Source organism: Homo sapiens, chromosome 10 (genome assembly GCF_000001405.40).
Source record: "Homo sapiens chromosome 10, GRCh38.p14 Primary Assembly".
NCBI classification, from domain to species: domain Eukaryota; kingdom Metazoa; phylum Chordata; class Mammalia; order Primates; family Hominidae; genus Homo; species Homo sapiens.
The window spans coordinates 11,614,688-11,637,532 of NC_000010.11; the positions used below are offsets into that span (position 1 = coordinate 11,614,688).

General features: G+C 40.5%; 1 long non-coding RNA gene across 2 annotated transcripts in view, besides 1 other annotated feature; it reads right to left on the reverse strand.

Annotated features, from left to right (window-relative positions):
* Nucleotides 17,618-17,767: an enhancer, noted in NCBI's record as "active region_3019". NCBI's record gives its function as "activates an Ori minimal core promoter by ATAC-STARR-seq in GM12878 lymphoblastoid cells {active_cell/tissue: GM12878}" and the evidence as "EXISTENCE:reporter gene assay evidence [ECO:0000049][PMID:35858748]".
* Nucleotides 20,848-22,845, reverse strand: part of LOC105376413 (uncharacterized) — a 70,155-nt gene continuing 68,157 nt past the window's right edge. For both annotated transcript variants that reach the window (XR_007062054.1, XR_930662.3), the window contains one exon: nt 20,848-22,252. This is a non-coding gene — a long non-coding RNA (uncharacterized LOC105376413). The remainder of the gene's footprint in view (nt 22,253-22,845) is intronic.

A 22,845-nucleotide genomic window follows, 5' to 3' on the forward strand; every position in this document is an offset into this window, starting at 1 on the left:
ATGGCCATTTGATTCATTTAATTTTTTTTAAGAGAGATAGTTCCCTAAGGGAGGGATTTTTTTTTTTTAAATAAGGCTGTGGAAAGCATTGCAATGCCCATATTCATGCTCACCAGCCAGGGTAATTTCTGAAATCTCATGAGAAGCCAATGCTTTTCTATTGACTAGAAAAGTCAGCTCCAATGACACTACATATAACTATTCTTTACGGACGAAAAAAAGATCAGTCAACATCTGTGTGTAAGTGAAAAGGCAATGGGTAACCAATAGCCACATCCACACTGCTCATACACAAAGCTTTTTGGTTTCGTTTTGTTTTGTTTTTTTTAGATAGAGTCTCGCTCTGTCACTCAGGCTGGAGTGCAGTGGCACAATGTGGGCTCATTGCAACCTCCACCTCCTGGGTTCAAGCAATTCTCCTGCTTCAGCCTCCCAAGTAGCTGAGACTAAAGGCGTATGCCATCATGCCTGGCTAATTTTTTGTATTTTTAGTACAGACAGGGTTTTACCATGTTGGCCACGCTGGTCTCGAACTCCTGACCTCAAGTGATTCATCCACCTCGGCCTCCCAAAGTGCTGGGATTATAGGCATGAACCACCACGCCTGGCCCAAAGCCTTTAGTTTAAAAGAGAAGTTACTGATCGCAGTGTGAGAAAGAGGACCCCATGAAGAACTGTGAACCCAACATCGTAAGTAACACAGTTTGTTACCTATAACTCTGAGGTTGTATTATTTATTGGTGTGCTGAGTTTCTTTCTGATTCCCTATCTTTAGAATGTACATTCCATGAGACTGGGAAACTTATCTGTCTTCTGCCCTTCTCCATTCCTTGGTTCAGATCAGTATCTAATACATAATTAGCTCCCTGCAAATATTTGTAGAAAGAATGAAAGGAAGGAAGGTGAGAGGGAGGGAGAGAAGGAAGGAAGGAGGGAGGAAAGAATGACTGAAAGAAAGAAAGAACAAAAATATGCAAACATGCTTGTTTTCTAGGCAGAAAGTTCCTAACTTTTTTTCATATGCTCAAAGGGGTCTGTGACTCAAAAAAAAAAAAAAAAAACAGTAAGAATGACTGCTTTTCAACTACAAAAGCTGCCTCTCATGATCTCCTCTGCTCTTTTGCTCACAAGACACCCTGTTCCTGATTACATACCAAAATTGTCATCATGGTTTGCCAGAAATCTATAATGATGTCGTATCGTTTGAAAAGTGTCTCAATATGTTTTTACAGCTTTAGAGAATTTCTCCTGCCTGCTCAACTTACAGTTGCCATTCTACAACCATCCATTTGGCCATCTCTTAGACGCCATGCCATTTATTTATTTTTTGTTAAGTCTCATCAAGCAGAGTTGTAATAAAAAATATTATAAGATACTAAAAAAATGAAGTAGAATTTCACGGCATTTTTGTCTCTGTTTTAGAGGCATAAAACTCTTGCCTCTGTATATGTGACCTTTGAATTAACCTTTAAACCCTTGTTCTCATAAGTCTTTATAAATTGTGTGGCAACAGTTTTCACAGATGGCCTCCCAGTGAACTGTGCCATCCAATATTCACCCTCCTCTTGAGTCTGGGCCGGCTCTGTGACTCACTTTTCACAAGATTGTGGGGGAAGCGATGCTGAGTGATTTCTAAGGCTAGATCCTAAGTTTTGCAGCTTCCACCTGGGCCTCTGAAATACTTAGCGCACTCCCTCCGGACACTCAGGTGCCATACTGATAGGAGCCCAAGTCACATGGAGAGGCCACATGTAGCTGGTCTGGATGACAACCTCAGCTGAGTCCTCAGACATCAGCCAGCATTCACTGCTGTTGGGCATCCTGAATGTCCAGCACAGTTAAATCTTCAGATGCCTCAGGCCCCAGCAGTGTGACCCCATGAGAAATCCCAAGTGAGGATGTCTCAGGTGAGCCCAGTCAACCCCGTAGAACCATGAATGTCATAATAAATTGTGTGTTAAGCTTTTGAGCTTAGGGTGGTTTGTTATACACCTGCAGACAACTGGAATGCATTGATTAAAAATACAGCGCTAAGGCCTTTAGCATGGTTTAGCTAAAACTTTAATAAATAGTTTCATCAAAATTAACAGAAGGGATGTATGAAAATGTCAAGTTATAGAAGAATGGAGTGAACTGTAGCAGATCCCAGGGTATTCAAGGACATTTTTTTTTTCACTAAATTGCTACTTTTGTCTAAGTCTTTTCTTTGAGGTAGGGTCGTTACTTTGTGAAACAACATAAGGACTTCCATCTCTCGGAGTCTGTAAAGTAAATATAGTTGCAATTGCACTTGACTTCGATATGAAATAAGTCCTTGGCCACATACTTTGGCTAAAAAAGGGAAAGAAGTGGTGGTCACAAGTAGCCAGGCTAAAGAATCAATGAAAATGGGACAATAGATGAGAAAATATATATATATATATATATACACATATATATATATGTATATATATATATGCATATGTATATGCTCAGCTTCTATTTTCTGTTTGTTTATACTTCATGAAAATTACAGGTCCACAATTCCTCATCCACAAAGCTCTGAAAACCAAAAGTGTTTTTCATAAGTTGGGCACCTAAATTCTTTTGGTAGCAATAGAACTTTCCTTTGGCTATTAAGGGTCTTTATCTTATTTAATATTAACACTCATTTTGTTACAGAAGTCTTTGTTTCATGACAAGGTGCTGGTACAGATCCCACTTATGACACCTTTAAACAGTACACCATACATGTGTTGTGTCACCCTTCTAAAAATCAAACCTTCTGATATCTGAGACACTTCTGGTTTCAGACCTAAAGAAGACTCTATCATAGACCTGAAGTGAACTTTATTGTACAGGGAGGACAGTAGAGTGTAGAGTAATCAAGCAGTCTTTGGAGTTAGACCACCTGAGTTCAAATCCTGGATCTGCTGCTTGCCAGCTCTGACACTTGGATTGATTGCAAAACCCTCTGCTTCAGTTTATTCTTCTACAAAATACAGAGAGTAAAAGAAATGACCTCAGAAGGGTTCTTATGAGAACCAAATGAGATTATGCATGTAAAATGCTTAGCCCAATAACTAGTAGTTGGTAAACACTCACCAAACATTAACTATTATTGTATTATTATTAAAATGTCAGTTGTTTGTTTTGGTTTTTGTTTTTGCTTTTAGAGACATGGTCTCACTCTGTGGCCCCAACTGGAGTACACTGAAGCTCACTGTCACCTCAAACTCCTGGGCTCAAACAATCCTCCCACCTCAGCCTCTCAAGTAGCTGGGAGTAGAGGTGTGTGCCACCATGCCTGGCTATTTTTTTATTTTTTATTTTATTTTATTTTATTTTATTTTTATTTATTTATTTATTTTTTAGAGATTGGGTATTGCTTTATTGCTCAGGCTAGTCTCAAATTCCTGGCCTCAAGCAATCCTCCCACTTTGGCCTCCCAAAGTACTAGGATTACAAGAATGAGCCACTGGACCCAGAAAAAATGTCAGTATTTTATAAATTCAATGAAACAAATAATATTTAAATGAGAGTTCAGCCAGGAAAAAAGAAACTACTCAAGGTATCACCAACAGGAAGATATTCAATATAGGGAATCAGATGCATACAAAGTCTTTGGAAGGAGTGAATGGGCAAAAGTTGAGAAGGTAGCACTACTAATTTCAGGTTATTCCATATCACCTGTGGACCCAGTGTCAGGAAGCTGCTGTACTCAGAGATCAGAAATTGCAATAAATGACAGGTAATCAATCACTGTCCATGTCACAGCTGCTCTCCTTGCAGCTCAGAAGCTGGGGATAGCCAGGGATGGTCTTTGGGGTCTAACTTCACTGCCAACGTTTATATTTGTTGGCCAGGCTCGGTGGTTCGTGCCTGTAATCCCAACACTTTGGGAGGCTAAGGTGGGTGGATTGCCTGAGCTCAGAAGTTCGCGACCAGCCTGGGCAACATGATGAAACCCTGTCTCTACTAAAATACAAAAAATTAGCCAGGCGTGGCAGCATGTGCCTATAGTCCCAGCTACTCAGGAGGCTGAGGCAGGAGAATTGCTTGAACGCGGTAGGCAGAGGTTGCAGTGAGCCAAGATTGCGCCACTGCACTCCAGCCTGTGCAACAAAGCAAGACTCTGTCTCAAAAAAAAAAAAAAAAGTTTATATTTGTCAAACCCCTTGTGTCAGCTGCCACTGTCACAGAAAGAATGACATGCTCCTTGCGTCTTTCAAATCCTTGAGTGCACCTCATTGGCACAACCTAAACCTTATCAGAACTGTGCTGGCAGGAGACTCTGGGAAATGCAGCTCCAGGCCTCCCAGCCTCTGTGATACACATAACACCCTAAACAAATAGTCATTTCATAATAATAGTAATTTACACTTGTATAGCACTTTCCATAAAATCTCTGCAGGCAGGCAGAAACTGTAGCTCAAAGTTGCAAGGCTGGCAAGAGACTTAGAACCTTATATCTCAAATCTAGGGTGTACTTTTTTTTATGTCAGTGTGTCCTATTTAATCATCCGGGTTCCACTTTCCCCCCCAAATCTTCATAACCATTGATATTATTGTTTATTGTTTTTCTTTCTTTCTAAGTTGACTCACATTTCTATGTAAATAAAGAGGAAATTTTGCATCATAAAGTATAATGCAACTCACAAAACTGTTTTGCTACATAAATGGAAGATAAAAGTAAAAATGAACACACTGAAATCCAAACGGTGATATTAAAACCAGTTAGTAAAGGGCTCTGAGCCTGAAGCCTGCTCCTCTTTCTTCAAAGATGTGATTAGCATGTGTTAGAGATGTTACTTGTACTAACAGCGAACACCCTAACTGCAGATTAAGACTCACTGATATATTCACAAGAACTAAAGGGTGAAAAAAACCTCTGAAAAATTAAATTTCTCACTATGTGAGGCAAGGTTATTTAAAGCTTTGCCATCTTATCTACCATCAGTAGAACACATCTTACGCTTTGGATAACACTGCTTTCTGCCGTCTTCATTTTGGCAGTTTAGCTGAGAATCAGTATTTATTCATTTTGTTGTTGAAATTATCTGATAGCTGAGCATTAAAAGTATGTCAGTATGTCTTGCCCCTGATGACTCATTCACGTAAGATTTTGTTGCTGTTATTAAGGTGAAATTCACATAAAATAAAATCAACCGTTTTTCAAGTGAACCCTACGGTAGCATTTAGTACATCCATAATGTTGTACAACCACCACCTCTATCTAGTTCCAAAATATTTTCATCACCCCAAAAGAAAACCGCATAGCCATTAAGCATTTATTCTCCATTTTCCATCTTCCGGTTCCTGGCAACCCTCACTGTTTTCTGTCTCTTTGGATTCACCCCGAATATTTCATATAATTGGAATCATGCAATATCTGACCTTTTGTGTCAGTCTTCTTTCACTGAGCATAACATTTCCGAGGCTCACGCATATGACAACTTGTATACATACTTCATTTCTTTTCATGGCTGAATCATATTCCATTGTTTGTATACAACACAATTGTTTATTTTTCTGTTGATGGACAGTTGAGGGTCCACCCTTTGGTTACTGTGAATAGTGCTGCTATGAACGTAAGTGTACATGTATTTTTTTTTCGAGGACCTGTTTTCCAGTCATTTTGGGTATATGTTGAAGAGTGGAATTGCAGGATCATATGGTAATTCTATATATAACTTGTTGAGGAAGCGCCAAGCTGTTCCCACAGTGCTGTGCCATTTTACATTCCCACCAACAGTGCACAAGTGTTCCAATTTCTCCACCTCCCCACCACCACTTGTTATTTTCTGTTTTTGTGATTATAGCCATCCTTGTGAGTGTGAAGTGGTACCTTGTGGTTTTGATTTGCATCTCCCTAATGACTAGTAATGTTGGGTATCTTTTCATGTGCTTATTGGCCATTTGAATATCTTCTTTGGAGAAATGTCTATTCAAGTCCTTCGCCCATTTTTGAAGTGGGTTGTTTGTCTTCTTTGTTGAGTTGTAAAAATTCTTTACATATTCTGACCCTTATCAGATATATGATCTGCAAATATTTTCTCCCATTCTCTAGGTTGTCTTTTCACTTTATTGATCATGTCCTTTGGTGTACAAAAGTTTCCATTTTGATGAAGTCCAATTTATCTATTTTTTTCTCTTGTTGTGTGCTTTTAGCGTTATATCTAAAGATCTATTGTAAAATCCAAGTTCATTAATATTTACCCCTATGTTTTCTTCTAAAAAGTTTTATGATTTTAGCTCTCATGTGTATATAAGATTCTTAGACCATACTATAAAATTTCCACAGAAATAAGCTAGATTTATTGACCCAGGTTAACTCTATAATCACTGAAATCGACCTACCCTTGAAAGACTCATTTCCTTTAATAAATGAGCTTGTTTAGCCAGACTGTGGAAAAAATCACTGTACTAGATTCTACAGCAACATATAAATACATTTGTATATTTATTAGTATATTATTCCTATACACCAATGGGAAGTCTATAGTATGTTCTATGAAAAAATGTTGGCCGGGCGCGGTGGCTCACGCCTGTAATCCCATCACTTTGGGAGACCAAGGAGGGCAGATCACAAGGTCAGGAGTTCAAGACCAGCCTGGCCAATATAGTGAAACCCTGTCTCTACTAAAAATACAAGAATTACCCAGGTGTGGTGGTGGGCACCTGTAATCCCAGCTCCTCAGGAAGCTGATGCAGGAGAATTGCTTGAACCTGGGAGGCACAGGTTGCAGTGAGCCCAGATCGCGCCCCTGCACTCCAGCCTGGGCAATGGAGGGAGACTCTGTCTCAAAATAATAATAATAATAATAATAATAATAATAATAATAATAACAGTAATAATTGTTGTTGTCCTGTCTTAATATATTGTTTTGCTTTAAAAACTCCAAAAGAAAACCAGACAGCCACCAAAGTCCATGACAAGGAAGTTCATGAGAAATAGAAATAAAGTGATAAACATCTGTTCAGCTTCATAAATAATCAAATGAATCTCAGTGGAGGCCAGTGGAATATAATTATTCACCTGTCATATAGCAAAGATTTAATAAATTGGTTAGCCATGTGCCTGTATCATGCATATGAAAATCTGCCAAAAGGGTAGGTAGCATGTTAAGAGTTCTTACCACAGTAACATTTTAAAAAGAAAGTTAATAAAGTGCATTAATTATTTTTTGAAAGACCAATTAACACCCAAAATGTGGTGAAACAGGCACTACCATACATTACTAACAGGAGTGTAAATTGGTAGAATTTAAAGAGCATTTTGATAATATGAACTAGACTTTATAATGTAAGTACTTCGATTTGGTAATTTAGTTTCTAGGAGTATTTTCTAAGCACATAATACCAAAAAGCCCAAAGAGCTCTGATAGTTCTGTTTGCCACATCCTTGTTTACAATATAAAAAATTGGAAGCAACCTACCTGTCAATAAAGTATTCGTTAAATTAAAGTAGCCCATTTAATGGAATTAAAGGCCAGGTGCAGTGGCTCATGCCTGTAATCCCAGCACTTTGGGAGGCCAAGGCTAGAGGATCACTTGAGTCCAGTAGTTCGAGACCAGCCTGGGCAACCTGGTGAAACCTGGTCTCTGCAAAAATAAAAATAAAAAATTAGCCAGGCATGGTGGCACATACCCATAGTCCCAGCTACTCAGGAGGCTGAGGTGAGAGGATCACTCGAACCCAGGAGGTGGAGGCTGTAGTAAGCCACGGCTACACCACCACACTACAGCCTGGGCAACAGAGCAAGACCCTGTCTCAAAAAAAACAAAATAGGCCATTAAAAATTATGTTTGGCCAAGCACAGTGGCTCACGCCTGTATTCCCAGCACTTTGGGAGGCTGAGGCGGGCAGGTCATTCAAGGTCATGAGTTCAAGACCAGCCTGGCCAACATGGTGAAACCCTGTCTCTACTAAAAACATAAAAATTAGCCGGGTGTGGTGATGCATGCCTGAAGTCCCAGCTACTCAGGAGGCTGAGGCAGGAGAATCACTTGAACCTGGCAGGAGGTGAAGGTTGCAGTGAGCCAAGATTGTGCCACTACACTCCAGCCTGGGTGACAGAGTGAGACTCTGTCTCAAAAATAAATAAATAAGTGAAATTTTCTTTGACCTCCAGGACAACGTAATTAATTCATCATATCCCTTTCAGCAATACCTTCACTACTAACTTAACACCACACACACCACCCTTCCTCAAGGAAAGTATTCACTCTCTCAATGAAAGGCACCAATGAATAACTACCTGGACACCCTCTAGTGCCTCCTTCTCATCTCTGCCCACATCCAACAAGTCAGCACGTGTAAATCCTATCCCCAGATAGCTCTTGAATGTGTTTCCTCCCCATCAGCCCCACTACCACTGTTTTAATTTAATCTCTTATCGCTTCATGTTTGGATTGCTACAGATTTTTTCGTATCTCCAATCTGCTCCTCTGGGTCATACATAGCTGTGCTCCCACTACTAACAGCACGATTTTCCTAAAATTTAAATCTGACTGTGTCATTTACCTGCCCATTCATAACTTCAAAATACAGTCCATGGTAAGTATTCAACAAACGATCGACAGACAACAATGAATGATTGAATTTAGAGTGAGATTGCTGGTCCCTTCCCAATCCAGGGTAACTGTGGGTTAATCATCATTTTTTATAATCCCCTAACCCTGTTGGTCTTCAGGCAAAGACTCAATACATGTGTCTCTTGGCCGTTAGTGCTTTTCTTAGGTTTTGTTACACATGACTTTGTTCGTATTTTCACTATCTGGCAACAAGCAGCTTAAGGGGAGGACTGGTATATATTATAAGGTCACTGTGGAATTTGGTGGCATTTCTGGAGGATCCATAGTGCCTAAGACTGGGAAGGGGGCACTTTTAAAGTGGAAAAATAAAAGACAGCTGTGGTGATTACATATCATCCATTTAACTTTGCTATCTGGGAGATACTAAGATAAACTATGAAATAATTCCCTTCCAAGTAACCAGAGGAACAAAATCTAAAGTACTCAAGGGCAACTAGCAGAGCTTTGAAAGAAGCAAACTCTGCAGGAGCAAGTGAATTTCCTTCTATAACAACATATCAGGCAAAATGCTGACAAGAAGAAGGCAAAAGCTATACTCTATTCTCTTCAATAAAGATCCCAATATGATGTTATCATCGTTCACCTGGGAGGATGCAGTCCAGCTGAAGAATGGCCAATTTCAGACATACGTGTCATACCAGTATCAAGGCATTTCTCAGAGAATAGCAAATATACTTTTTTTGACAAATAAAATTTTAGGGTTCACCTTTTCTGAAGTTACAAAATCTAGAGCAAAGAAACAAGTCAATACAAGAACCCTCTTATCATATTCATGATGTCAGTGGACTAAAACATAACAAAATTTGCACTGGTGGACAGACTTAAGCCAGCATTTGACAGTACAGATAATGGCTAGTGGTGACCCTTTTACATTGTGTTCTTATTCAGGTAATGTGTAAACTGTGTCTTGTAGTAAACAGGGGGTACATGAAAAAAAACTATTATTAAGACATAACTATGTTGAGGTTAAAAAGAATGTCAACATTTATTTAGGCAGTGATCAAGCCTGTTTTCAATCTTGGAGTTATTGCCACCCTTCCTAAAAAAATAATTAAAAGTCTAAGCCGGGCATGGAGGGCCACACCTGTAATCCCAACACTTTGGGAGGCCAAGACAGGTGGATTACTTGGGGCCAGGAGTTCGAGACCAGCCTCGCCGACATGGTGAAACCCAGTCTCTACCAAAAATACAAATATTAGCCAGGTATGGTGGTGCAAGCCTGCAATCCCAGCTACTTGGGAAGCTGAGGCACAAGAATCCCTTGAACTCAGGAGGTGGAGATTGTGGTAAACCAAGATCGCACCACTGCACTCCAGCCTGGGTGACAGAGTAAGACCCTGTCTCAAAAAATAAAATAAAAGTCTGAAAAGGCATTTTAAGCAAAACACTTGGACGACAATTTTTAAAATAAGCAAATATTCAGTTAAAAAGTACATTTATGGCCGGACATGGTGGCTCACACCTGTAATCCCAGCACTTTGGGAGGCCAGGCAAATGGATCATTTGAGGTCAGGAGCTCAAGACCAGCCTGGCCAACATGGTGAAACTCCATCCCTACTAAAAATATAAAGATTAGCCAGGCATGGTGGCAAGTGCCTATGATCCCAGCTACTTGAAAGGCTAAAGCAGGAGAATTGCTTGAGCCTAGGAGATGGAGGTTGTGGTGAGCTGAGATGCTGCCACTGCACTCCAGTCTAGGTGACAGAGTGAGACCCTGTCTCAAAAAAAAAAATGACATATGTGTATATATATATATATATATATATATATATATATATGCATAAACACACACTAATCTGAGAGATACTCTGTCTCCTTCAAATCTAAGAGATGTTCTGTACAAGGACAAGATGTTGACCATGGAGAATTTGCCTCTGTCGCCTGAGTTTCATTTCCCCTTGGGGTTTTCCCAGGGGGTGTGACAGTCATCTGTGCTGCTCAACAGATTATTTCTGGCTTTCTGCCTTCCAGACATATGATGGGATTGCTTCCTCGCCCCCTTGGGTTGGGTGGGGTAATCCAGGCTAACAAGTCATGACAGAATGTGGCATTTATAACTTCTGTGCAGAGCAGAGCACTAAGTTGCTGGTGTGAGACCGTGTGGAGCACCCTTTCATTCCTCTGCCAGGACAACCAGCCATGATCCTGGCGGTGGCTGCTCCATCAGCCTGGATTACAAAACAGTGTGAAGCAGAAACCCCCCATTGTCTGGCAGTGGAAATGTAGCAATGGCAAGAACTAAGTCTTATTTTTTGCCACTGAAACATTGTGGCTGTCTGTTAGAGCAGCAAAACCTAGCCTGTTCTGACTGATACAGTAAGAATAGTATCACCAGTCCCATGACCCCAGTTATTAATCTCTTAACACCGAGACCCCAACGTTGACAATAAAAACCCTTTCTTAAGTTTCCGTTGCCCTGGCTGATAGACACTGGCACTTTCAAAATGGCGTTAATAAATACGAGGAGAGATAGGAGGCTGAGAGAGCACAGGCTTGGAGAATAAGCAGGAATCAGACTAACTGCGTTCTGCCCCTTCTACACTGCCTGATCTTGGGCAAGTTATATCATCTCCCCAAAACTCAGTTCCTTAACAATGAAAAGAGATAATAATAATGGAACCCATCCCACTGGATTGTTTTAAATGCTCAATAAATCTCCATTTCAAAGGTATTCTTCTTGATGAGCTCTTAACTGCCAACTGTTTTAGCTTAGGTTCCCCAGAAAACAGAATCTGAGTCAAATGCTTATGTGTGAGTTCATGAGAGGGACCAGAAGGGAGGGAGAAGGAGAGTAGTGCAGGGGAGATGGGAGAGCCTACCAAGGTTGTGAGGTGGCATTAGGAAGGGGGCGACTGGTCCCACAGGACCCATGGAGAAACCTTTCAAAATACCCTCCATGTATAGGGAGATGGGAGGAGGAAGGAAGAGGCATGTCAGCTCCTGTCACACACTGGCCACAGGTTAGCCTCAGGGAGGTGTTAGGTGACCTGCACTTCTGGGTTGCACAGGCAACAGCACTGAGAGGTGTGGCCCACACCTTGTCATCTCCAGAAGAGCCCTGAGACGGGAGCCGAAAGGCATGGGGTGCTCACAGGTTGCACCTAATGTCAAGCTGCTCAGAGTCAACTGTTTGCCTTATTTATGTCTGCAATAAGTGACAGGTGAGGCTGAGGTCTGAAGCATACAAAAGAGGCATCCAGCCCACCACCTGTTTAAAATTGCAAACATTGGCTGGGTGTGGTGGCTCATGCCTGTAATCTCAGCATTTTGGGAGGCCAAGGTGGGCAGATCATCTGAGGTCAGGAATTCAAGACCAGTCTGGCCAATGTGGCAAAACCCTGTCTCTGCTAACAATACAAAGAGTCAGCTGGGCATTGTGGTGGGCGTCTGTAATCCCAGCTACTTGAGAGGCTGAGGCAGGAGAATTACTTGAACCTGGGAGGCAGAGGTTTCAGGGAGCTGAGATCACGCCATTGCACTCCAGCCTGGGCAAGAGAATGAGACTCTGTGTCAAAAAAAAAGAAAAGAAAAGAAAAAGAAAAATTGCAAACACCTCACTCTGGAATTTCTTATCCTCCTACCCTGCTTATTTTCCTGCATTTCCTGCCTCACCATCCAATCTACAATATATTTTCCTTATTTCATGTATTCTTCCTTCCCCTACTAGAATGTAAACCCCTTGAAGGCAAAACATTGTAACATCAAAGTGTGTTTGTTACACAGAGTAATGGAGTGAGACCCTGTCTCAAAAAAAAAAAAATTAAAAGTCTGAAAAGGCATTTTAAGCAAAACACTTGGACTACAATTTTTTTTTTTTTTTTTTTTTTTTTTTTTGAGACGGAGTCTCGCTCTGTCGCCCAGGCTGGAGTGCAGTGGCGGGATCTCCGCTCACTGCAAGCTCCGCCTCCCGGGTTCACGCCATTCTCCTGCCTCAGCCTCCCAAGTAGCTGGGGCTACAGGCGCCCGCCACTACGCCCGGCTAATTTTTTGTATTTTTAGTAGAGACGGGGTTTCACCGTTTTAGCCGGGATGGTCTCGATCTCCTGACCTCGTGATCCGCCCGCCTCGGCCTCCCAAAGTGCTGGGATTACAGGCGTGAGCCACCGCGCCCGGCCTACAATTTTTAAAATAAGCAGATATTCAGTGCTCAAGTGTTTAGAGCAATGACTGGCACATACTAGGTCCTCCCTAAATATTATTATTATCATTTTTATATTTGAGAGAGTGTCTTGCTATGTTGCCCAGGCTGGAGTGCAGTGGTGTAATCACGGCTCACTGCAACCTCCACCTCCCAGGTTCAAGTGATTCTTCTGGCTCACCCTCCCAAGTAGCTGGGTTTACAAGTATGTTCCACCACACCCGGCTAATTTTTGTATTTGTAATAGAGACGGGGTTTCGCCATGTTGGCCAGACTGGTCTCGAACTCCTGGCCTCAAGCGATCCACCCGCCTCGGTCCCAAAGTGCTGGGATAACAGGAACGAGCATCATGCCCTGCCAATATTATTTTTTTAACCTTTTATTTTGATATAATTTCAAACTTAGAGAAAATCTGCAGAAAAAAGTACAAAGAACTCCTACATACATTTTACCCAGATTCACCATTGTTAATGTTTTAGCACGTTACCTTTATCATTTTCCCTTTCTCTCTCTCTGAACCAGTTGACAGTAATCTGTAAATATCACGTTCCTTTTCTCTCAAATACATGAACGTAAGTACATGCTTGAACATAACCATGAGATGATTACAAAAATCAAGAAACAAATTCAAATTTTGTCAGTTGTCCCAATAATGCCTTTTATGGCAAAATTTTCCTTAACTGATGACTCAATCCATAATCACGCAATGCATTTAGTGGTTCTGTCCCTTTGGTCTTTTCCATCTGGAATCGTTGCTGAGCCTTTCTTTATCTTTTATGACACTGACATTTTTGAAGAGTACAGGCTTGTTATTTTGTAGAAAGTTCCCTTAATTTAGATTCGTTTGAGGTTCTGTCACGGTTAGATTCAGCTGGTAAAGAATATATGAACAGATTGTTATTATCAAACGTGGTTGTTATCTAAGTACAGAGCTCGGAGCCTTGTTGTAAGTAGCTACGCTCAGGACCCTAGTCCCCCTCTTCTCTCGCCACACCTAAACTCTAACCCCAAGGGATTGACGTATGCCTGGCAGCACCCAGGGTCTTTCCTTCCCAATTCCTGATCTAGCTCCGATGAAGGACCACATTTACCACTCCCCACCCGCTAGGAGCTCCTGCTCGTCCAGCTTCACACTATGGAAAGAAAGCAATTGCCCCCTTGTCTTCCAACTCCTCTCCCCTGCCCCCTCCACTTATCTCATTATTATTATTATTATTATTATTATTATTATTATTATTATTATTATTTTTGAGATGGAATTTCACTCTTGTTGCCCAGGCTGGAGTGCAATGGCGCGATCTCGGCTCACTGCAACCTCTGCCTCCCGGGTTCAAGCGATTCTCCTGCCTCGGCCTCCCGAGTAGCTGGAATTACAGGCATGTGCCACCACGCCCAGCTAATTTTGTATTTTTAGTAGAGATGGGGTTTCTCCATGTTGGTCAGTCTGGTCTTGAACTCCTGACCTCAGGTGATCTGCCCACCTCAGCCTCCCAAAGTGCTAGGATTACAGGCCTAAGCCACTGTGCCTGGCTTTTTTTTTTTTTTTTTTTTTGAGACAGAGTCTCTCTCTGTTGCCCAGGCTGGAGTGCAGTAGAGCAATCTCAGCTCACTGCGGCCTCTGCCTCCCGGGTTCAAGTGACCCTCCCACCTCAGCCTCCTGAGTAGCTGGGACTACAGGCATGCGTCACCACACCCGGCCATTTTTTGTTGTATTTTCAATAGAGACAGGGTTTCACCATGTTGGCCAGGCTGGTCTCGAACTCCTGACCTCAGGTGATCTGCCTGCCTCAGCCTCTAAAGTGCTGGGATTATAGGTGTGAGCCATAGCGCCCGGCCTCATTATTCTTCTTTTCCTCCTTCTCCTCATTTTTCTTCCCTTCCTCTTCCTCCATCTCTTTCTCCTTTTTCTTCTCTTTGCTTTTCCTGATATGTTGACTTCACTTTTTTATGCTAGCTTTCTCCAGTAAACTATACCCTTAAGTCCAGACTCTTCTCTTTCCAGATTCACAGCCCAAGAAGAAGACCTCCTTTCTCTATATAGTCCCAATTTTGAAAAAAAAAAAAACTTCAGAAAAGACTTTGATAGGCTCTACTTAGTTAACATTCTCACATCAGTGGTCAGAATTTGGGTTCTGTGATTTGAAGCTTCCCTAGAGCCACAACATTTAGAATGAAAATGCAAATAAAAGCCACAACCAAAACAAAATTAAAAAAAAAAACAGAAAATAATAAGTGTTAGCCAGGACACGGAAAAACTGGAATCTTTGTGCATTGCTGGTAGAAACATAAAACGGTGCAGCCACTTTGGAAAACAGGCTGGTGGTTTCTAAAAAAGTTAAGCATAGAGTTACCACGTGACCCAGCAATTTCACCCCTTAGGTATATGCCCAAAAGAAATAAAAGCAAATGTCCACACGACAACTTGTGTGTGAATGTTCATAGCAGCATTGTTCATAATAGCCAGATGGTGGAAACGACGCAAATATCCATCAGCTGAAGAATCAATAAACAAAATGTGATCTATTCATACAATGGAATATTGTTCGGCCATAAAGAGGACTGAACATGATGCTAATTGAAAAACACCAAATGCTAAAGAGCACGTATTGTGTGGTCCCATTTATGTGATATATCCAGAATAGGCAAATCCATAGAGACAGAAAGTGAGTGATTCCAGGGCCTGTTGGGGGAGGGATGGAGAGTGACTGCTAATTTTATGGGGTTTCCTTTAAAAATGGTGAAAGTGTTCTAGAATGACACAGTGGTGATGGTCGCACCAACTTGTGAATATACTATAAACCACTTCCAAAAAGTGGATTTTATATTTTGTGATTCATATCTCAAAAACATTAAAAGGAAAAATATAAAAGGAAACAGCTTCCCGGAAATATTAACTTCCCAAAGCAATACTGTGGAAGTTAGAGTATGTGCTAAATCTCAAGTTGACTAAATGTAACCAATCCAAACGAAGTTACCATTTAATAGACAAAGAGTCCTCAAAATATACCGGAAGTAGTCTCCATCAAGTCTTGAAGAAGAGTCAAATGACAAGAATTTGTCATTATCCAACCCTTTTCATCAAAAGGAAACGCTGCACCTAGTAGACATGAGTATTTCTACAAGCAAAAGGTATGCTTCATTGCCCTACAGAGATGATTCTCCAAATTCTATCATGGCCTGAATGAACCCCCACTAGAATTCTTAAACTCGGCCAGGCACAGTGGCTCATGCATGTAATCCCAGCACTTTGGGAGGCCAAGGCCGGTGAATCATGAGGTCAGGAATTCGAGACCAGCCTGGCCAATATGGTGAGACCCTGTTATCTACTAAAAATACAAAAAATTAGCTGGGCATAGTGGAGGACACCTGTAATCCCAGCTACTCGGGAGGCTGAGGCAGGAGAATCACCTGAACCCAGGAGGCAGAGGTTGCAGTGAGCCGAGATTGCGCCACTGCACTCCAGCCTGGGCAACAGAGTGAGACGCCGTCTCAAAAAAAGAAAAAAAAAAAAAAAGAAATTCTTAAACTCCCTATACTCTGACTCCACATTCTCCAATTTCCTGGTTGCTATTAATTAGGCTTCTGAGGGAAATTCTCACCAAAAGAAGTACTTTGAATGGAAGACAAAACATTTTAAATCATTAAAGACTTTCTATTTGCATTTTAAGCTAATAAAAATACATGTTCATGGATACAAAGGTGTCGGTTATTCACCATTTTTCTACTCATAAGCCCTCAGTCACTCCTGGGTGAACTGAAAAAATTGAGTATATGAGGGCAAATCCCAATACCCAAAGGGAATTTGATTAGGTGAGGCAGCTCTGTATCAGTTACAAAAGGTTTTGACTCTCCCATTAACAGTGACAAATAAAAAGAGTAGCTTTTTATTTATAAAATTACCATAAGATCCAGCAATATCGCATCTCCACATATATTCAAAAGAATTGAAAGTAGGGTGTCGAACAGATATCTGTACAGCCAACTTCATAGCATTATTATTATTATTATTGTTATTGAGATGGAGTCTCGCTCTGTCACCGAGGCTGGAGTGCAGTGGCGCGATCTGGGCTTACTGCAACCTCTGCCTCCCTGGTTCAAGTGATCCCCCTGCCTCAGCCACCGGGGTAGACGGCTGCTGCTCGTGATTAAGTTGCTTACAATTCCATTACTAGGTCTATGCCGCCTTTTTGCTTAAAAATATTCCCAGAGCTCATTTCCTCCGTTCAGATATAATTATTTAAACTTGAGTTTAGTGTTTTGACATATACTTCTAAACTGTAACATACTTATTAGCATTTTAGTAACATTTAAGATCTATTAGTAAAGGTTCAAGATATATAAATTATTTAGTAACTTTGTAAAATGCCTTTATGGTAGCATATGTTAGCTAAGGATGGGCCCTTTGACTTTCCAAAACTGGAAAACAACCATTTTAAAGCTGTAAGATTTCTGCTTTTTAAGCGATGGAGGCTTGAATTTAGATAGTAATGTAGATTAACCATTTATTGTAAGAGAATCATGTGTCTGTTTTCTTTTCTAAAATTCCTACCAGCCTGGGCAATGAAGTGGCACCCCATCACTACAAAAAATTATTCTAAAAATTATCTAGGTGTGGTGGCGCACCTGTGGTCCCAGCTACTCGGAAGACAGGCAGGAGGGTCGCTGGAGTCCAGGAATTTGAGGCTGCAGTGAGCTCTGACCACATCACCGCACTGCAGCCTCGGAGACAGAGCAAGACCCTGTCTCTAACAAATTAAAAATTAAAAATAATAATAAATAAAATTCCTAATTCTGATAAAAAGATACATAACATGAAATTTACCATCATAACTATTTTTAAGTGTACAATTCAATGGTGTTAAGTCATTGTGCCACAAATTGCCCTGGCTTTTTCATGAAGTAAAAATGAAACTTTGTACCCATTAAACAACAACTCCGGTTTCCTCTCATCCAGCTGCTGGCAACCACCATTCTACTTTCTGTTTCTATGCGTTTGACTACTCTTAACAGCCTCATGTAAGTAAAATCACAGTATGCGATTTGTGGCTGACACCTTACTTAATGTTCTCAAAGCTCACCCATGTTGCAGTATGTATATGAATTTTCTTCCTTTTTGAAGCTGAATAATATTTCATTGCATGGATAGACCACATTTTGTTTTATCTGTTCATCTGTCAATGGCCATTTGGGTTTTATTCACCTTTTGGCTATTGTGAATAATGTTGCTATGGGCTGGGCGCAGTGGCTCACGCCTGTAATCCCAACACTTTGGGAGGCTGAGGCAGGCAGATCACTTGAAGTCAGGAGTTCGAGGCCAGACTGGCCAACATGGTGAAACCCTGTCTCTACTAAAAATACAAAAATTAGCTGGGTGTGGTCGTGCATGCCTGTAGTGCCAGCTACTTGGGAGGCTGAGGCAGGGGGATCACTTGAACCTGGGAGGCAGAGGTTGCAGTGAGCCCAGATCGCGCCACTGCACTCCAGCCTCAGTGATAGAGCAAGACTCCATCTCAATAACAATAATAATAATGCTATGAAGTTGGCTGTACAAATATCTGTTCAACACCCTACTCTCAATTCTTTTGAATATATATGGACATGCGATATTGCTGGTTCTTATGGTAATTGTATTTTTAATTGTGTGAGGACCCACCATAGTGTTTTCCATAGTAGCTGCACCATTTTACATTTCCACCAACAATGCACAATATTCCAGTTTCTCCACATCCTTGCCAACACTTATTTTCTGTTCTTTTGATAGTGTCCTTCCTCATGGGTATGAGGTGGTATCTCACTGTGGTTTTCATTTGTATTTCCGTAATTATTAGTGGTGTTGAGTATCTTTTCATTTACTTGGTGACCACTTGTATATTTTCTTTGGAGAAATATCTACTCAAATACTTTGCCTAGTTTTTAATCGTGTTACTGGGTTTTTCATTGTTGAGTTGTAGGAATTCTTTACATATTCTGGATATTAAACCCTACTTAGATAGATAATTTGCAAATATTTTCTCCCATTCTGTAGGTTGACTTTTCAATCTGTTGATTGTGTCCTTTGATACACAGGTTTTTTTTTTATTTTGATGGATCTAATTCATCTATTTTTTCTTTTGTTGCCTGTGATGTTGATGTCACAGCCAAGAAATCATTGTCAAATCTGATGTCATGGATGTTTTTTCCTATGCTTTCTCCAGAGAGTTTTATAATTTTAGCTCTTATAGTAACGTCTTTGATCCATTTTGAGTTAATTTTTGTGTATGGTGTATGGTAAGGGTCCAACTTCATTATTTTGCATTATTTTGCATACAGATACCCAGTTTCCATACCCAGTTGAAAAAGTTGTCCTTTCCCTGTTGAATGGTCTTTGCACTCTTCTCAAAAGTCATTTGGCTATATATGCAAGGATTTATTTCTGGTCTCTCTATTCTATTGGTCTATGTGTCTGTCTTTATGCCAGTATCACATTGTTTTAATTACTGTTGTTTTGTAATAAAATTTGAACTCAGGAATTGTGAGGCCAACAACTATTCTTTTTTCAAGATTGTTTTGGCTATTTGGGGTCCCTTGACATTCCATATTAATTGTACAATGGACTTTTCTATTTCTGAAAAAAAATATTTGGGATTTTGATAGGGATTACATTAAATCTGTAGATCTTTTTGAGTAGTATTGACATCTAAATGCTATTAAGTCTTCCAGTCCAGAACATCAGACATCTTTCCTTTTGTGTTTTTTTTAATTTATTTCAGCAACACTTTGTAGTTTTCAGTGTGCAAGTCATTCATTTGCCTCTTTGGAGAAGTTTATTCCTGCGTATTTTATTATTTTTGATATGACTGTTTCTAGAACCATTTTCTTAATTTTCTTTTCAGATTGTTCATTGTTCCTGCATAGAAATACAATGGAATTATACATGCTGATTTTGTATCTTGCTACTTTTTAAAATTTGTTTATTAGTTCTAGAAGTTTGGGTGTTGTTGTTGTTGTTGTTTTGTTTTTATTTTTTTTTAATGGAGTCTTGCTCTGTTGCCAGGCTGGAGTGCGGTGGCGCAATCTTGGCTCACTCTCACTGCAAACTCTGCCTCCCGGCTTCAAGCGATTCTCCTGCCTCAGCCTCCTGAGTAGCTGGGACTATAGGTATGCGCCACCGTGCCCAGCTAATTTTTGTATTTTTAGTAGAGACGGGGTTTCACCATGTTGGCCAGGCTGGTCTGGAACCCCTGACTTCAAATGATCCACCCGCCTCGGTCTCCCAACGTGCTGGGATTATAGGCATGAGCTACCACACCTGGCATCTTCCTCTTCTTATAAAGACATCAGTCCTAAACCAGGCACAGTGGCTCATGCCTATAATCCCAGCACTTTGGGAGGCCGAGGTGGATGAATTGCTTGAGCCCAAGAGTTTGAGACCAGCCTGAGCAATATGGTGAAACCCCACCACTACTAAAGATACAAAAATTTGCTGGGTGTGGTGGTGCATACCTGTAGTCCCAGTTACTTGGGAAGCTGAGGTGGGAGGATCACTTGAGCCCAGGAGATGGAGGTTACAGTGAGCCGAGATCATGCCACTGCACTCCAGCCTGGGCAACAGAGCAAGACCACGTCTCCAAAAAAAAAAAAAAAAATGGGGACAACAGTCTTATCAGATTAGGACCTCACTCTTCTGATCTCATTTAACCTCACTTACCTCCTTAAAGGCCCTATCTCCAAAAACAGTCATACTGAGGGCTAGAGCTTCAACATATGAATTTAAGAGGACACAATTTAGTTCATAACAGTGGTCATCCTATTCTTGTTCCTGATTTTAGAAGAAAAGATTTCAGTCTTTCACCACTGAGTATGATGTTGGCTGTGGGCTCTTCAGCTATGGCCTTTATCACGTTGAGGACATTTTCTTCTATCCCTAGTTTGTTGAGTGTTTTCATCATGAGTGTTAATTTTTCCAAATATTAATACTTTTTCTGCATCAATTGAGATGATTATGTGTTTTTTCTTTTAATCTGTTAATGTGGTTTATTACATTGATGGATTTTCATATGTTGAAACCTCCTTGCATTCCAGGAATAAACTTTGCTTGGTCATGGGGTATAATTCTTTTAATATGTTGTTAAGTTCTGTTTGCTAGTATTTTGTTTAGGATGTTTGCATCAATATTTAGCCATGATCTTAGTTTATAGCTTTCTTTTCTTGTAGTGTCTTTGTTTGCCCTTGGTATCAGGGTATTGAGGACCTCGTGGAATAAGTGTGGAAGGTTTCCTTCCCGTTCAATTTTTTTTTGCAGAGTTTGAGGAGAGTTGGTGTTAATTCTTCTTTAACTGTTCGGTTGAATTCACCAGGGAAGACATTTGGTCCTGGGCTTTTCTATTTTGGAAGCTTTTTTGATACTGATTCAATCTCTTTATTAAGGTCTGTTCAGATTTTCTATATGTTCATTATTCAGTCTTGATAGGTTGTGTGTTTCTAGAATGTATCCATTTCATTCAGGTTATTGAAAGTTTTGGCACACAGCTGATCACAGTATTCTCTTAAAAGACTGTCTATTTCTGTGAAATTGGTTGTAATGTCCCTCTTTCATTTCTGATTTATTTGAGTCTTCTCTTTCTTTTTTTCTTTTTTTTCCTAAGTTAATGTAGATAAAGGTTGGTCAATTTTGTTGATTTTTTCAGAGAAACGACTCTTGGTTTCATTCATTTTCTCTGTTGTTTTTCTAGTCTCTACTTTGTTTATCTCTGTCCTTTTCTCATTATTTCCTTCCTTCGCTAGCTTTGAGGTTAGTTTGTTCTTCTTTTTCTAGATCCATAAGGTGTAAAGTGAACTTGTTGATTTCAGGTCTTTCTCCCTTTCTGGTGTAAGCATTTACAGCTCTAAATTGCCCTCTTAGCACTGCCTTTACTGCATCCCATAAGCTTTGTTATGTTGTGTTCTCTTTTTCATTTATCTCAAGATATTTTCTAATTTCTTTTATGATTTCTTCTTTAACCTATTGGTTGTTTGAGAGTGTATTGTTTAATTTCCACGTATTTGTGGATTTTCCAGCTTTCCTTCTGTTATTAATTTCTGGTTCCAGTTCACTATGATTAGAAAAGATATGAGGTATAATTTCAGTCAGTCTTTTCAAATTTATTAACACTTGTTTCGTGGCCTAGCAGACTTTCTTAATTCTTTGGGAAGATTGCTACTTTTCTCTGTGATTTTGAAATGACTTATGATTGTACAATATTACTTGCTTTGGAAATGTTGGGATTTGTTTCTCATTTGAACAAAATCCAGAGCTAAAATTGGAAGGACTGCTAAAATTGGAAGAATCCAGAAGCTCCTCAGCTTGTGGCTTCTCCGCTTTCTATGCAGGGGTTCCAAAGTTGTCATGCTCTTCTGTATCAGGCCTGATGCAAAAGGAAAGAGGATGAAGAATTGTCTATGGGAGGTTTCTGTGGGCCAGGCCTGGAAGTGGTTCTCACCACATTTCATTGGCAGGAATTCAGTCACACAGCTGTACCTAACTCTTCAGGAGGCTAGGAATGTAGTCTAACTGTGAGCCTAGGAAGAGAAGAAAATGGGTTTCATGAATAGCTGCCACATTCTAGAATTCTATCTACAGTCAAACCATCAATCAAATGGACATTTAGAAGAAAGACTTTTTATTTCCATGTAGTCTCTCTTAGGAAGCTAATTAAAGATGAAATTCAATCAAGCGAAGAAGGAAACCAACAAAGAAAGAAATGCAGGATCTAGAAATAGTGAATCCAAATCAGGGGACAGTGAATGGCAGGTGCAGGCTCAGAGCTGTTCCGCAGACCTGGGGAACAAGCAGCCCGTGGGGCAGGAACAAGCCAAGTTCCCACAGGGCAAGTCCTTGACAATAGAAGGGAGAGGATGGAATAGATGGGAGACTTCAAGTTTGGATATACTTGAGGATATGCATTTGTGTTGTTGTTGTTGTGTTGTTGAGACAGGGTAACGCTCTGTCACTCAGGCTGGAGTGCAGTGGCATGATCACAGCTCACTGCAGCCTTGACCTCCCAGGCTCAAGTGATCTTCCCACCTCAGCTTCCCAAATAGCTGGCATCACAGGTGCATGCCACCATACCTAATTTTTTATTTTTAGTAAAGATGCGATCTCACTATGTTGC